The sequence below is a fragment of the Homo sapiens genome, chromosome 14 (assembly GCF_000001405.40).
Source record: "Homo sapiens chromosome 14, GRCh38.p14 Primary Assembly".
Lineage (NCBI taxonomy): Eukaryota > Metazoa > Chordata > Mammalia > Primates > Hominidae > Homo > Homo sapiens.
In genome coordinates this window covers 68,456,289-68,473,204 of record NC_000014.9, presented here as the reverse complement: position 1 = coordinate 68,473,204, position 16,916 = coordinate 68,456,289, and the positions used below count along the sequence as shown (strand labels likewise).

The following is a 16,916-nucleotide window of genomic DNA, read 5'->3' as shown; positions in this document are numbered from 1 at the left end:
TGCCAGGTGCGGAGGTGGTATTTACCATGCAGATACCTCTGTACCTGGATGGAAATAAATTGAGAATCTTCTGGGTCACTTTGAGTCCAGCAGCATAAAACATTTTGATAGGTTACTGATTCAAACTGAAATCTGATGAACTCAAGTGGTGGTATTTGGGGGGACATTTTTGTCAATAAATCATCCAGCTGGCTCAGTGACTAAAAAAATGGGGTGGGAAAACTTAACGCAAGTTTGTGACAAGGGAACAAACAGAAGAGATTAATGCCTGTCCTGATACATTTCAAAAGGTGATCAAACTGTTCTTGATTGCAAAAGCAAAGCAAGAAAGATGAGGCACATAGCTTTCCAGCTCTAAAAAAGATCGCTGTTGCTTTGTTTTCTGTTTTCTTCTGCCACCCTATGCCAAGTGGTTGGAGATATGGGAAACTAATTTCATCTCCAGCACCTTCTCCGGACCTGTCTCAGGGTGCCCTGGTCTCCCCAGCTCCCGCTCATTCAAACCTACACTAATAGACGACAGCCCCAGGATCCAAATTAAACCTGTCATACCTGACTTTGATTTTGCAAAAATGATATAAAAAACACACTTCTGTCTTACTGAGGAACTAAGCCACTATCTTCTGTCCTGTTCCAAACAACCTGGCTTTTCTTTTACAAATCCTCCCCAGATCCCTGAGGAAAGGAGTAACGGGGAGGCTGTGCTAGATCAACCCTTCATTCCCCTGGACCTCCCCTTCCTTAGGTTCTGTTTCACCAAGTCCGCAGGTGTTTGTGCCTATGAGCCCCTGAAAACTAGGAGGGCTCCCGGAGAGCTGGGACCTGGGTTTTCCTCTAGGCCTCCTGCAGCGCCAGCAACACAGCCCAGCTGCTTTCAATGACAGAATCTTTATTCTTGGCCTTGAGTCCCAGCTGTGTTCTGGGTGGCACAACATTCGGGGCTTGCTAAGGGAACAAAGGACATGACCAGAGGAGAGGTGGGTCAACCTGGAGCTCACTGTAAACTCCCTTTCCTTTCTGCTGCCAGATGCTTCTGTGGGCACACACCATTAAAGCTGATTCCCAGAACCAACTCCTGCTCTTACCTCTCCACTAGGCCCCAGCACACTTGAGCATCACTCTAAGAGGCTAGCCAAACTGCTGAGCTTTTTCACTTAGTGGGCACTGAGACTTGCATGGTGAACTCTGGGGACCAAAGGAAAAATGGATTCATGAGATCCCCTCCTACCCCAACATTTCCCACTTCATTGCACAGAGAGGCTCAACTCTCTCTCTGCCTGGGATCTCAGAGTCCAAACCCTCAGGAAACTGGTGGCTGTGAGCTCCCTCTCCTTTGGGGCCTAAGTATTTCCAGCATCCAGAGGCCAGGATCCCAGACAAACGCTGGACAGACAAAGGAGATGCAAACAGGATGGTATTACCATGTTAATGGCCTGAGTTGAGGCCTCCTGAAGATGCTGGGAGGAGGGGGGTTCTTTCATTTACTTTTTTTCTTCCTTTTTTTTTTTTTTGCAAAAGGAGAATAGTTCCGCTTTCTATTTTACTACAACAATAGCATGGACCGGCTCCTTCAAGAGTTTCAAAAAGCAGCCTGAGAAATCTCTAACCAGCCCCTCAGTCTCTCCAGCCTGCCGCTTTATTGTCCTTCCCATCCCAGTGAACAAAGGGGAGGGAAGGGTAGAAGTCCCCCAGTTGCTGACTGTTCTCAGCATCCTAATCCTTGAGAACCGGTGAGGGAAATGGCCTGTGGAGCTGGTAAATCGAATTCTGCCCTCACCTTTTATTCCCTCCCTCTGCTTGAGCACTCAGGAGTTCTTCAGGTATTATAAAATCTCCGGGCTAGCAGGCCAGTAGGCATCTTGGGGCTTGCCAAGGGATAAAAGGCACTGAGGGATCATTCCCTACCCCCACGGGTAGCTGGTGTGGTTGGCTTGTTTCCACCATCCAGGTGGCTCTATTGAAGACCGAATGTCGGCCACAGTGGCTGGCGGCCTCCCTTCTAGTTGGCAGCACAGGAGCTGCCCTGTCTGTCTCTAAGTCCCTGGACATGGGCTGCACATCCCACCCAGAGCTCCAGGTGCCAACCTCCACACCAACTCGGGGCTCACCTGCCAGTGCAGCTCCTCATGTAAGAAAAGCTACTTGGCCTTGACTGATGGTACCTTTCCAAGTTTTCCACCCAGGGACCAAGGGTTTCTTTGCTTTAAACCTGGGGAATCATGCAGGTGTCTTTTAGTTTGGTCATGTGGTAAGAAGGGGGAAAAATTAGCTTTGATGTTGCAGTATGTGGAGATCTCAAGGGTACAACTGGGCTGAGCTAAGGGAATGATGAGTACATCCTCTCCTAGGAGGATCGGACAAAGCTGATGTGACAAGGCTGTTAGAGATCCCGCAGGATGGTTACAACAATCCACGTAAGAAAAACGTTTTATGCTGCAGCCCCCACACAAACTCATAATGTATGTGGACATTCACAAACACACAATCACACAAGAAATATTTTATGAAATGAAACAATATGTGTGATATAATCTGATATTTTTTCTTCACTCTTTCTTCTGTCTTCTCTCTCTCTCTGTTTTCAAATGCTGGTTGTGATTCATCAATTTCACTTCATGACCCACCAATGGGTTGCGACAGTTTTCAAAGTCTTGAATCAAGGTTAATGTTTTCATTTTCCAGCTGACAAAAGCAAGGCCCAGAGATTTTCTCAAGATCATACCAAAGCTGAAGGTAAAATCCAAAGGTTCTTTCTAGTAAATGAGGGGCCTGCATTTTCTGGGGACCTGCATTTTTTGTTTTCCCAAAGTCTTTGGGAGCACACAGCAAGAAGGCAGAGTGTGCCAAGAGGTTTGTTTTCAAGGGCATTGCTGGTAAAAGCAGAGGTGTTCCACTGCTTCTGGGAAACCTCAGAGAGGGATGTGTAGCTTGGGGGAGTGGGATAGAGAAAACAACTTAGAAAGCAACCAGGTGAGGTTCTGAGGTCTCCTAACCAAGCATTTTATTTACTGGTTGTTGTTCTTGAATTATAAGACATTTTCCTGAATTTTTCTCTTTCCTGGACACAGCTCCAGGTCAGCCTCCTTTAGTGATCCACTTTCTCCCCTGTTTTCCAACTTTTTCGAAAAGTCATTCCTTGCAGTTTTTTAAACTCTACCAATTCATTGTATTTCCAGGCTCTACTTTCTCTAAATAACTTTCTCTTCCCTCTTAAAATCATGATCTTAGCAATGAACATCAGAGAGGCAACTCAGTGACTCTTCTTCTCACAAATGTTATCCCAAAAGTTATCCAGATTTGACCGGGCTTAGAAATGCTATTTAACAAAATGCCTAGTGATCAGGGTGCGTGTATCACATCAAGCCTCTTCACACACGTCATCTGAGCAGAACAAACTTTTTTCCTCCTGAAATTGTCTTGTAATCTTCCATAGAATTTCTTGAAATCTTCAACGAAATTTGCTACTTACTATACTTCTAATCTTTTAAGAAGGCCTCTAAAAATGAAGAGCTGAATGCCACCCTGTGTACTGGGTAAATAAAAGTCCAGCTTTCTGATTGCTTATTAGTTATACACCCGTAGAGAGTATGTAACAAAGAGGCCTGCTGTTTGCTTTGCTTAATCTGGTGTTAAAATCTCTGCTCCTTTGTCAGAAAACACTATTTGCAATTGTAAAAAAAAATATTTACCAAGGAACTTGGATAGCATAAGTCAAAGGCTAAGAGCCAAAGGTCGTAGTTCTCACCCCAAATTTCGTGGACCTGAGAGTCCCCGCTGTGGAGCTCAGCTGCACCAAACAAACATGCCGCTTTGTGAGTCCATTAAGAAGCAGACATTTTAGAAGGGGAAGGAAAGGGAAGGCTGCAGCCTGTTCCTTAGTTAGAAGCATGAACTCTCCAGCCTGCCCTGCATATTCCCTGCTAGGTCTTTGCACTGCATTGTGTCTCCATGGGGAAATTACAGGGACTGCCCTGTTTCATAAACCTGGGAAAAATATTTAACTTATAAATCCTTCAGGGCAGGACTTCTCCCATGGACAGCAGTGACAATATGCTCCTCTAGGGTCAGGCCAGATATTCACCTAAGCATCTCTGTGGTTGGGGTCTCCTGCCCCACAGCAGAGGACAGATGTATATCCTGAGCACTTCTGTGCAGATCCTTCCTCATCCACAAAGCAGTTTTGTACATCTGACATTGTGGGCTGACTCTTCTAACAGTGCTGGAATTTACCCCTTCATGTTAATTGCTTTCTGGAAAGACCTGTAATCGGGTGCCTTTCCTAACCACTGGCGTATCTAGCATCTGAGAATGAATCACCATTGTAGATCAGTGAGTTCCAGGATGTGGCCTCAGGGTGCTATACCCTAAGCAAGAACTCAGCTCCTTCTAAGTCCTGGGCTCACGTCACAAGGTGCAGGTCCTAAAGGTCTGGTCCCCAGCAGGAAGACCATGTCAGGACAGGACAGGAAAAGGAAACAAGATAACCAGAAGGAGTCAGGGAAGTAGGGCTCATGGAGCCATGACATTGTGCCCCAGAGGCTGCCAACCCAGATGGTTCTTTAGCTTGTTAAGCAAGAAGGCTCTGGGGCAGCACTGGCTCCTCACCTCCACACTGGTGTCAGAATCATTGCCCACTTCATGCCATAGGATCTGCAAAGAGGAATGGGGTGGTAGCAATTCCGAGCTTTCTTGGTTTGATCCTCATGTTTTGATTGTCTCATTCTGTTAGGAAATTCTGTAGGTCTCCTTCGGCCCTACCTCAATCTTCTCTGTCAAATTCTTGCCACAACTGCCGCTCTCTTGCTCTCACTAGGGTAAATATCACTGGCCAATGCATCTTGGTTTTTGATTCTGTCTGGAGCTAGCTTCTATCAGAACCATAGCACTAATTACCACTAGCAATGGGCAGCACTGAGCATAAGCTTAAAGAAATGGCTTAATCCAAGGATCTTACCTTGAAGAACCAGGCCTTCCTCCTTGATGGTGTAGACAAATGAGGTGAAGGGAGCCAGAGGGGACTTGGCAATAAGAATCTGCACATAAAGCACATTTTTCTAGGGTTAGTCAAAGGATCAGGGATGGGCCTCTATTCACTCCCCTTCCCACTTTGAGACAAAGTGGTAACATAGGACTGTAAGTCACAAGGCTTATTTAAAAAAAAAAAAACCATTTTATAACCCAATGTTTAAATGAGTGTTATCCTTTCAAAGTGGTCACCTTAAAAGGCTGTATGCTTATTCCAACTATTCTGTCATCAAATGCCATATTCTTGAATCAATTCTTCTAGAAATAAGTCTCATTATTTTATAACACATGCTTAAATAGCTACCTTTCTGCCCAAAAATAAACCTAGCTTGATTCTCTAATTTTATTTATAAACTTAGCTGTTTTACTAAAAAAATTCAAAGCTACCTTTAAAAGATTTACTATCACTGCAAATATTCAAAATAACTTGCGAAAGGCAAAGCAATTGAAGGTTTCTTTGTTGGCCCTGGTCCTTCACCAAACCCTCTACTACGTGACTACATTTTCTATTACTTAAGGTGTAGAGCATTTCCCATGGCCCTTGATTGTGGGTTTGGGCATATGACTTGCCAGGTGGCATGACATAGGTTGTGCCAGTTCCCAGCCGAGGCCTCAAAAAGCCTCAAGTATTTCTAGTTGTTCTCTTAACGTTTGTGCCATTGTCAGAGAAAAATATGTCCATGCTAGTCTGCTATCTCAGAAGAAGGGCAATAGATACCTGAAACAGAGTTGGCCAGGAAGGCTCAGGCTAAAGAGTTGACCCCTAGAGACCCACAGATACACAAGTTAAATATCACTGTGTGCCTCTGAGATTTTGGTAGTGGAGTCATGAAGCATTAGTGCGTGCAGCAAGAGTTAACTGATATACCAGCCAAAATATCAAAAAATGTTTTCAGCAATGGCATTTTCCTAAGACAACACTTATTTTAAAGGAGATGGTTATTTGATCATTTAAAAAAATCAGTATCATTAAGCCATTATCACATCTCATATGGTTCTACAGAACCTCTAATAATTAGTAGATTATTTTATTATAGTATTTCTACTGAAGAAGATTAATTATCAGTTTCCTGTTTTACACATTAAAACATTATCAGAAACAAAGACAGTTTGAACACTGAACCGTGTAGGTAATCAGGGAGGCAAGAGAGAAGGAAGAAACAATTTCAAATGATCAAAAGGCTTATATATAATATCTTGGCCTATCTTAATTCAACAAATATTTGCTGTCAACTATGAGAAGTGGTGGGAAAATGTGATGAAAAGATCACAGGTTTTAGTCATAGGCTTGGAATCTAGCTCTTCCACTGATTGGCTAGGAGCCTATGGCAGAGCCTACAATTTTCCTCTAGCAGCCATTCCCCTTCTTCCCTTTAGTAAATAACTCCCCAAGTTTCCACATTTCTCTGCTTCTTTTGCAAGTAGGTGTGGCTATGTGACCAAGCTTTGACTAGCAGAATGTGAGTACAAATGATAGGTAGAAATTCTGGATTATGTTTTCATAAGAAAACTGCGTGCCCTCCACTTTCTCTTTCGCTCTTCCCAAGGCAGGAACCAGATCCAAGCAAATGGGTGTGGACAACACTCTGGGGATGACAAGGCAGCATGAGAGAGGGAAGCTGGGTGGCTTCAGAGAGCATCAGTGTCTCCCACTCGGGGTCACCAGTCCTCTCAGGGCAGAGCCACTTGGCTCAACCACTGTATTTTGACATCTTTGATGCTACAGTGCAGCCTGAATTCTAACCAAAACTGTGACTCTGGACAACCTAAACTTGTTAAGTCTCAGTTTCCCCACCTGTAAAATGGTGATAAAAACACCTTCCTAAGTGGCATTATTATGAGGATTAAATTAAGTATACAAAATACCTGTCACTGTGTCAAACACAAAATAAGTTCACAATAAATAATAGGAACATTTCCAACTAACCCATCACATATGGTTCCCTTAACCCTCACTCACCAAATAACAATATACTTGGCTCCTACCAGAAGAAAGTCTCCAGTTGAGTTGCAGTAATTTTTACAAATGTTCTAAAGTTATTTAGATACACTAATTCATCATTCTCAGAACCAATGAGAAGAAAGTATAGGTGGGAATTTACACTTTCATGTCAAAAATATCTCATTTGAAAATTAAGGTAGATTGCTTTCTGCCTGAGACAGTTCGGAGATGGTTCAATGTGAATTTATTTATTTATTTATTTATTTATTTATTTATTTATTTATTTTTTTTTTTTTTGAGACAGAGTCTAGCTCTGTCACCCAGGCTGGAGTGCAGTGGCGCAATCTCGGCTCACTGCAAGCTCCACCTCCTGGGTTCACACCATTCTCCTGCCTCAGCCTCCTGAGTAGCTGGGACTACAGGCACCCACCACCACACCCAGCTAATTTTTTATATTTTTAGTGGAGACGGGGTTTTACTGTGTTAGCCAGGATGGTCTCAATCTCCTGACCTCGTGATCCGCCTGCCCTGGCCTCCCAAAGTGCTGGGATTACAGGTGTGAGCCACCACGCCTGGCCCGGTTCAATGTGAATTTTAAGGATATCCCTTAGAAGGGGAATGGCATGGTAGAAGAAAAAACAGTGGTTCTCGATTTTAATGTGGGTTTGCATCACCTATGGGTCCTGTTGACCTACATATTCTGATTCTTTAGGTTTTGAGTGGAGCCTGAGAGAGTCTGCATTTCTAACAGGCTCCCAAGAGACGATGATGCTGTGGTTCATAGACTACATTTTGAGTAGCCAGGTTCTAGGCAATTAGCCTGATTGAAGAGTCTAAGATGGAGAAGCAAGAGATGGGAGATGTGGGGCCAGTTAGGAAGCAACTCCAATAATTCAGTGATGAGATGATAAGGGCCTAAACTATAGCTGTGCCAGAAAGAGTGGTAAAAAAGGAAATGGATAAGATAAACGTAAATCCTTTAGATCAAATAGCAGTAAAAATAAACTAAACATATAAAAAAATCTCAGATCTTTGTTGTCTGTATGTAGCAACTAGACATGAAACCAAAAGGGTGTAAATAGCAATAAATAAAGTATCATGCTATATTTTTAAAAATATTACCCTTTTTATTTTATGCACTGCAGAAACTGAGACCCAGAAAAAAAGAATGTAATATTTCAATGAGACACAAGAATGGCATCTGAGCCTAAGCCTTCCAACTCTGTGGTGCTAACTCCACCTTCTAATAGCCAGTCTATGAGCAAGCCCTGAACCCCAGCCAAAAGGATCTCACACCTGGAGGGACCTCTCTGCCGGAAATCAAAGAGTTCGGACAGGTCACTGATTAATGCACTGTCCTTCTGGAGCAGGATTTATAATGAGTCATCAAAAGGATGATCTGTGTGCAGTCAGAAAAAAGGAAGTGATAAGTTATGTCAGATGAATTCCATTTCCTTTCTTTGGAAAAGAACTTCCAGAGTGATAGATCAGAGGGCTAGCACCAATAAAAAATATCTGATTTCAGCAAAAAATGTGACAAACTCTCTTGATAGCCTTCTGGATAAAGTGAAGATAAGTTGAGCTGGGTGCTAATACCATTAAGTGGACTTGTGAGTGACCAAAAGGTCAGTAGTAACCTGGTGAGGGGCAGCAACCTCTAGTAGAATGTACAGAATTCTAGCTTGGTCTTACTGACTTGAATAAGATTGCTGATGTATTCAATTACACCCATACAACAAATATGAAATCTAGCAGGGAACAGAACTGACAAAAACTGCTCCTCTAATAGAGCTTACATTCTAAAGAAAGATAAGAAGTACAAAATAAATAAAATATGTTATGTTCAATGAGTATATGTGCAATGGATGAAAAGAGCAGATAAAGAATACAGGAAGTGTACTGGATTGGAGGTGGGGGCATCAATTTTGAATAGAGTATCATGAGATCTCACTGAAGAGGTGACATTTGGACTTGTGAATCATGTAACTAAACCCAATGATGAGATGCTGAATTGATGGGAAGGTAACAGAAGACAAAAAATTTAGAGAAAGAGGTCATATATTAGATCAGATAAACATGATATCAAAACAAATCTCAATTTGGTTAGAATGTTGGAACAAATCCTACACATTGTTTGGGATGCAATTTTATTGAACTAAATGAAATGCCTTGTCCTTGAGAACAGAGCACCAATGATTCATTATGGAACAGCCAGAATGAGATTCAGCATTCAGAAAATGGAATGTTGGTTAACTATAGTTCAATATTAGTCAGCTGTGAGATGTAATTTTCAAAAATCTAGCAAGTTCTCAGGTTATATCAATGGAGATATAGTATGTGGAACAAGGGAGGTGATAGTCCTGCTCTCCTCCTCACCCAGGAAACCATGCCTGATGCAATGTGTTTGGACTGGGGCCCAAATTCCAAAAGAAAAAATGACAAACAAGAAGGTGGTTAGAGGCCCAAAGCAATCAATGACCACAAACACTTCAATGCAAACATCATGGTAAGAGGACTGGAGTGAAAATTCATATTGCTTTTCTATGGGTTTTCTAACCTGAAGATTCTATAATATTATATACTAGTATATACTATGTGAAGATGCATATTGCTTTTACTATGAGTTTTCTAACCTGAAGATTCTGTCATATGCTAGTATTATACACTAGTACATATTATGTGAAGATGCATATTGCTTTCACTATGAGTTTTCTAACCTGAAGATTCTGTAATATTATATACTAGCATATACTATATTAAGATGTATATTGCTTTCACTATGAGTTTTCTAACCTGAAGATTCTGTAATATTATATGCTAGTAGTATATACTATATGAAGATGCACATTGCTTTTGAGTTTTCTAACCTGAAGATTCTATAGTATTATATACTAGTGAGGGGAAGTGTAAATTAGCTTTCTAGCCCAATATATTTCAGGAAAAAAAGTGATGCTTGCCATGTATCTTTGTGGATACATATAGATTCCTCCCTTTTTTTGATCTGAATTAATGCCCCATGACCCTTCTGCCATTCAAACTATAAACTATCCTCTTCCAAAGCAGACAACCCCCCAGCAGGTAATTTAGGCTGTGCTGGTTCAGATGTTCATCCATCCCATAAATCTGGGGAGTTCTAATCATTGTCTGACTTAGGTGGTTTTCAAGTATCATTCTATCTTCTTCAATACATGGTGCCCTGCAGGGAGGCCTAGGTACTTAATAAAACAACAGGGCCCTAGTGAAAAATTCTGATCGCACTCAAACCTGTGTGCAATGTGTGAAAGTTGGCTTTGGAAGTCTGAGGGTTCAAAGAAATATGTAACTGAGCAAGAATGAGTGTAGATATATGTGGCTCAGAAAGCCTGGGGCTCCTTGTGGTAGGTATGTGGTATGTGGGCAGTTAATCCCATCTCCCACAAATAGCCAAATTGTTTCTTCTTGAATATTTCCTTCATATCAGACCAGCTTGGCTTTAACTGCACTCTAACAAATACACTTTCTCCTCTCTTTACCTATCCTTGCAAGGAAAGTGGTCACCCATATTTTAAAATTCTTTGGAGGTGTCGGGCCTGTAATCTCAGCACTTTGGGAAGTTGAGGCAGGAGGACTGCTGGAGGCCAGGAGTTTGAGACCAGCCTGGGCAACATCGTGAGACTCTGTTTTGATTAATTGATCCAACTATCCATCAATTCTTTGGAGGAACATTTAAGGTATATCCAATATGTACTCGATGCTGGATCCCCAATCCCACTACCATCTGGAAGCAATTTTCGTTATTTGTGCCATCCACCCACCCATCCATGCACTTATTCAATCCACAAATATTTACTGGGCTCTTTTCTTTGTGCTTGGCACTGTTGTAGGTGCAGGGGATAGAGCAGGGAATAAGACAGAGAGGTCCTTGATCTCATAGAGCTGACATTCTGGTGGCAGAAGACAGACAATACAGGGAAGCCTTTGGGCTTTTTCCACTGTGACATTCCACTACGTGCTCCTCACTCTAGGGCATTCAATCCATCCATCAACAAACATTTATTGAGTACCACACTCTGGGCCAGGCAGATTCAATTTACACTCTGTAAATGTGCACTTATTAAAATACTGCTACCTGTTTCTACCTCAGTTTATTTTTTAGAGGCAAGCTCTGAATTTTCAGTGGGACTCAGCAGATCTGGGGCATTTTCTGTAATCTCACTCTGTTCCCTTCTCTAGGGCCCAATACGGTGCTTTTCAGCTGAGGGCTCCTAGAATGATGGGCAGGCATCTTCCTCACTGTTCTTCACTTCATCCCTATGCTGGTGTGTGGAGGTTTCTCTCCAATGACAAGTAGAAACACAGAGGCCTATGTACTCTAAATAAAGCGTGGAAGGAAAATTGGCCATTGGGGCCCATGGGCTTCTCCTTGTAAACTCTCTCCTCCTTCTTTTATGTCCCTCTCCCCAGGTTTCTATTTTGCTCTTAGTAAATAAGCTGTCAGCTAATTATCTCTACCCCTAAAGTGAGGGCTGGTAAACCTTCACGCATTAGCCCTCTCAGGTGTGTCTGCATTGTAATATAAGACTCTCAAAAAAGAGAAATGGTCTGTCATGATAGAAAGTGCAATAGGACTTGGGTGGGTAGGGGAGACTTCCAGGGTTCCTACAGTAATAATGCTGATGAGAACAACAACAACCAATGGACGTTAATCTTCACAATAATCCTCAAAGGTAGGTAGCTTATAAGTACTGAAGCTGGGTTCCAACCCAGGCTACCTGGTTCTGTACTACCTGGTCTGTACTTTTAACCACCATGATGGCAGCTCCCAATCTGCCACATACAACTCAATCTACTTTTCTGGGATAATACATTAAATGAGGCAGGATACATAACAGCAAATAAGGGCTTTTTTTTTTTTTTTTTTTCCCTGCATGGATATTGCATGATTCAAGACAAAGAAGGGAGCTGGACAGGGTATCCGTGCGGGCTGCCTCAGCTGTTCGCAAGCTTCCACACTGGCAGTCTTCATTCTGCCCTTCATCCCTGAAAGTCTAAATACAAATGTCACCTCTTCCAGAAGCTTCAGCCGATTTCTCCAGCCTAAAGTCATCTCTCTCTAATCTCTTCATACTTTATCTGTACTCTCTAATTATTAGTTTTCTTTACTGTTTTATGGTTAATGTTACCTCAATTTAACATAATCTATTTGACCCATTCTTGTTGTTGCTGCTCCTTCTGGTCCCACAAACCTCTAGTGTGGTGCTATATACGTAAGAGAAGCTTCATTATGAAATACAAGAATGAATGAGTGAATAAATGCACAAATTGATGACCCACAGAAGCTCTACTGATTCATATCCATTTTTAGGACTTATCTGGTTCCCTCTTCCCAGAGTTAGGGGACTCAGAAAATGCCATAGAAAACAGCAGGCTTCCCAGTCAATCACTGCCAAGATTCTTGGCTTGGCCAGGCCCAAAGTCAAGTCTTTGGTTTCAGCTTGCTATAGCATCACATGTTTTTCCTGGCCTGATCCCACTTCCAAGAGGCTCAGAAAGTGGAAAAGGAGCCACAGAACAGAAAGTGCTGGGCATAGTCACCCCAGGCCTTCTCCAGGATGGCGACACCTTCTAGGGATAGTGTCTGGGTCCTCCTTTTTAAAGTATAGGTGTGGCCCTCATCTGAGGCAACCCAGCCCAGTCCTTCTCCATGGGTGGCTAGGAAGGCCAGTGTGGAGCAGGCAGCACAGAGATGTCAGGAACCTTGGGCACAGGCTACCCTGGAGGCTGCTTTTGTTTGTTTGTTTTTTTGAGATGGAGTCTTGCTCTTGTTGCTCAGGTTGGAGTGCAGTGGTGTGATCTTGGCTCACTGCAACCTCCGCCTCACAGGTTCAGGTGATTCTCCTGCCTCAGCCTCCCGAGTAGCTGGGATTACAGGCACCTGCCACCACACCCAGCTAATTTTTTGTATTTTTAGTAGAGACCAGATTTCACCATGTTGGCCAGGCTGGTCTCGAACTCCTGACCTCAGGTGATCCACCTGCTTCAGCCTCCCAAAGTGCTGGGATTATAGGTGTGAGCCACTGTGCCCGGCCTGGAGGCTGCTTTTATAGACTTCTGGTCCTGGCAGTTTACATGAGTTCCTGCAATACAGCCCCAACCTTAGGAAAAAGTGAGTTTTGCCTATGTGGCCCAGGAAAGCAGACATGAATAGGCGGCCATGAGGCTGAGGGTAAGCTGGCACTGATTCTTCTACTTTCTCTTCTCTAATTCCTGTGCCAGGAAGGCTTCCTGTACACCAGTCATGAATTCTTCCTCTCTTCTATTTCCTTCCCCTTCCCACCCCAACCCCAAATCTCACATTGGTTGGGAGGTGAAAGGAAGAGTGAAATGACCTGGCAGAGGAAAAGTATAAGCAGAAGAGTTTCTTCCTGTAAGGACAGGTGGTAGGACTGGCTTTCTTTCTATCCCTGCTATCTGCTATAAGATGTGGGGCCCAGAGACAATGTAATACGTTCAGCAAAGAGAAGTTCAGCAAGAAGCAATTGAAGTAGATAGCTCCCCAATATGACTTTGCATCCATACACAATTTCCTGTCCTGCTAGTTTTTTAATCCTGTCTCAGTCTCCCTCATGATCAGCAAGATTACGTGGTCGTTGATAAATTCAGTGGGGATTTCCTTGTTGAATGTGTCTGATGCTTTTCATCTGCATGCAAGGGTCCTGTCGAGAAATTAGGGAGGAAGCCCACTGACTGAAATGTCCTTCTACAGGGACCCTATTATCTCACTTCAACTGGAGTCCTAGGCTAATAAAACCCATTGGTAAGTTAAACAAACCTTTCCTCTAGCTATGCCAAGTGTCTGCGACAGAAATCCTTCATGCCAGGGTTTTCCTCCTTGTCCAAGACTTAGAAAAAAGTTGTTTTCTCAGCTGCTTTGAAGCTCAGGAAGAGAGCCAGGGAGGCAAACAAACCAGTTAGTCTTGCATCAGATAATTCAACAGGCTTTTGATAACCCCAAAGTCTTCTGTCCCTTCCCAGGTTGAGCTGAACTCTCCAAGCCAAAGGACAGAAGGGCCGGAAATGCTCCAGACAGGAAGATCTGTGACTGGAATGAGGCCATAGGATCAGGGGAGCTTGAAGTGTACCCAGTGATCCTCACAGGAATTCCCCATTGTGTTGCGAGAGCTGGAGGGAAAGGTGGCAGAGGTCCAACTCCCAGTCTGTAGTTGGATCTTAGACTGATTAGAATCTGCTTCATCACTTGGAAAATCACTCTGCATGGAACACTGAAGCCTCAACACCAGCAGCTTTGCAGGATTATGCGGGCAGAGCAGAGAATGAGTTTAGCGGCATCTAAACTGCCTTCTCATAATAGAAGAGCAAGATCTGTAGAAGTAATACAGTGCTGGAAAATGGCAGGATGGAAAAATGAACTGTATTTGAGCAGGCATGAATTTATTAATTTGTCTACATGTGGCCTACTTCCCAAGTTTTTCTACAGAAATTAGGGGACATAAAGTAAGCTGATCTGAATCCCTAAAAAATATAATATAAATAATAATATACAATATAATAATATGATATATAAATAATATAATTGTAGTCTCTGGGAAGAGTCTCTTAGGAATTTTGACCCTGAGGTTATAAGATCCTATTTCCTCATAGAATATCATTATGCTCTTGTATAACACCTCTCTGGTGATTGTTTTCAAAATGTTTACCTATAATATAACACATCAAGTTCCCAAAGTATAAGAAAGTATTGCCTAGAAAAGAGCTAGGGCTCCTTAAAGAAAATATTAATTTTTTCTGATCAGTAGGATGTTAACTTAGTAAATTATGGAATAGTAAATAGTTCAGGGTCAGAATGACATTTTGAGTTTACGGTTTTTTCCTCAACATTTTATTATGAACCTTTTCAAACATAAAACAAAAGTGAAAGAATTTTATAGTGAATACCCATAAACATATCAACTGGTTCTGCCATTAACATTTTATTACTTGAACCCAGGAATTTGAGGTTGTAATGAGCTATGATTAGCTCTCCAGCCTGGGTGACAGACCAAGGCCCTGTCTCAAAAAACGGAAACAAAAAGACCAAAATAATTTTATTACACTTGTTTTTTAGCACATATCTATTTATCTATCAACCCATCTTATTTTTTGTTCTGGTTGTTATTACATTTCAAAGTAAATTGCAAACATCAGTACACTTTTCTCTAACTACTTTAGCATGCATATAGTTAACTACAAGCTTAATATTTATTAACACAATTTAAAAACCATGTTGGTTTTTTTTTTTTTTTCAGTGAACTTTACATGTGGTTTGAAAGTGTTAATAATTCCTAGGGCTGGGCGCAGTGGCTCACGCCTGTAATCCCAGCACTTTGGGAGGCTGAGGTGGGCGTATCACGAGGTCAGGAGATTGAGACCATCCTGGGTAACATAGTGAAACCCTGTCTCTACTAAAAAAAAAAAAAAAAAAAAATACAAAAATTAGCTGGGCGTGGTGGCACGTGCCTGTAATCCCAGCTACTCGGGAGGCTGAGGCAGGAGAATCGCTTGAACCCAGGAGGTGGAGGTTGCAGTGAGCTGAGATTGTGTCACTGCACTCCAGCCTGGCAACAAAGCTAGACTCCGTCTCAAAAAAAAAGAAAGTATTAGTAATTCTTCCTGAATTATACCACAATCAGAGAAAACTTATCAACTACAAATATATGGTAGTATGCAAATTTATACAGTCAAAAATATGGGCCACCAATTCTTTCTACATTAATATCAGCTTTATTTAGGTATAATATACATGCAATAATTTTTTAACATAAGCATTTAAACTGTATATTTCCCTATAACTACTGCTTTAACTACACCACATAAGCTTTGATATGTTGTATTTTTGTTTTCATTTTCACTCATTTCTAATTTCTCTTGTGATTTATTCTTTGAACTATTGCTTATTTAGGGGTGTGTCTGTGTGTGTTTTTAAATTTGCACAGAACTGAGAATTTCCAAATTTTCCTTTTGTTACTGATTATCGATTTCATCCCAGGGCTGGGCGTGTTGGCTCACATCTATAATACCAGCACTTTGGGAGGCCGAGGTGAGCAGATCACTTGAGGCCAGGAGTTCAAGACCACCCTGACCAACATGGCAAAACCCTGTCTCTACTAAACATACAAAAATTAGTTGGGTGTGGTGGTGCATGCCTGTAATCCCAGCTACTCAGGTGGCTGAGGCACAAGAATTGCTTGAACCTGGGAGGCAGAGGTTGCAGTGAGCCAAGATCGTGCTACTGCACTCCAGCCTGGGTGACAGAGTGAGACTCTGTCTCAAAAAAAGCAAAAAAAAAAAAAAAAAAAAAAAAAAAAAAAAAAAAAAAAAAAAAAAAAAAATCATTCCATTGTGATTGGAGAAGTTTGTATGATTTCAATCTTTTAAATTTATTGAGGCTCAACTTGTAGTCTAATTTATACTTGAGAAGAACATGTATCTGCTGTTGTTTAGAGTGTTCTATAGATGCCTTTGAGGTCTAGTTGGCATAGAGTATTGTTTGAGTCTTCTATTTCTTTGCTGAACTTCTGTCCAGTTGTCCTATCCATTATTGAAAGTGGGGTATTGAAGCCTCCAGCTATTATCATTGAATTTCTATTTCTCCCTTCAATTCTATTAGTTTTTGCTTCATGTATCTTGGGGCATAGGTGTTAGGTGCACATACATTTATAGTTATGTCTTCCTGATGGAGCAATCCTTTTATAATTATAAAATGTCTCTTTTTTTGTTTCCAGTAATGATTTTTGTCTTACAGTCTAATCTGTCTGATAGTAGCATAGCCATTCCAGCTTTCTTTACTGTTTGCATGACATGTATTTTTCCATCTTTTTACTTTCAACCTATTTGTGTCTGACTCAAAGTGTGTCTCCTGTAGACAGCATATATAGTTGGATCATGTTGTTTTTAAAAAAAATTATTCTGT

The 16,916-nt window shown here is 41.8% G+C and overlaps 1 protein-coding gene across 12 annotated transcripts in view, besides 3 other annotated features; it reads right to left on the bottom strand.

Moving 5' to 3' along the window:
- RAD51B (RAD51 paralog B) overlaps positions 1–16,916 on the bottom strand; it is an 863,318-nt gene that overhangs the window by 209,892 nt on the left and 636,510 nt on the right. For 11 of the 12 annotated variants that reach the window (NM_001321818.2, NM_001321809.2, NM_001321821.2 and 8 more), the window contains one exon: positions 4,955–5,033. In NM_001321818.2, coding sequence (NP_001308747.1) covers positions 4,955–5,033 — 79 coding nt within the window. Of the gene's footprint in view, positions 1–1,528; positions 2,683–4,954; positions 5,034–16,916 lie in introns of those variants that run through there. The other variant, NM_001321819.1, reaches the window with a different exon arrangement.
- Positions 1,446–1,979: an enhancer, noted in NCBI's record as "OCT4-NANOG-H3K27ac-H3K4me1 hESC enhancer chr14:68937943-68938476 (GRCh37/hg19 assembly coordinates)". NCBI's record gives its function as "activates a minimal SCP1, AML or CMV promoter by ChIP-STARR-seq in naive H9 embryonic stem cells {active_cell/tissue: H9 hESC(naive)}" and the evidence as "EXISTENCE:reporter gene assay evidence [ECO:0000049][PMID:30033119]".
- Positions 1,980–2,513: an enhancer, noted in NCBI's record as "OCT4-NANOG-H3K27ac-H3K4me1 hESC enhancer chr14:68937409-68937942 (GRCh37/hg19 assembly coordinates)". NCBI's record gives its function as "activates a minimal SCP1, AML or CMV promoter by ChIP-STARR-seq in naive H9 embryonic stem cells {active_cell/tissue: H9 hESC(naive)}" and the evidence as "EXISTENCE:reporter gene assay evidence [ECO:0000049][PMID:30033119]".
- Positions 9,279–9,573: an enhancer, noted in NCBI's record as "tiled region #3354; HepG2 Activating DNase matched - State 9:DNaseU". NCBI's record gives its function as "activates a minimal TATA promoter and a strong SV40 promoter by Sharpr-MPRA in HepG2 cells {active_cell/tissue: HepG2}" and the evidence as "EXISTENCE:reporter gene assay evidence [ECO:0000049][PMID:27701403]".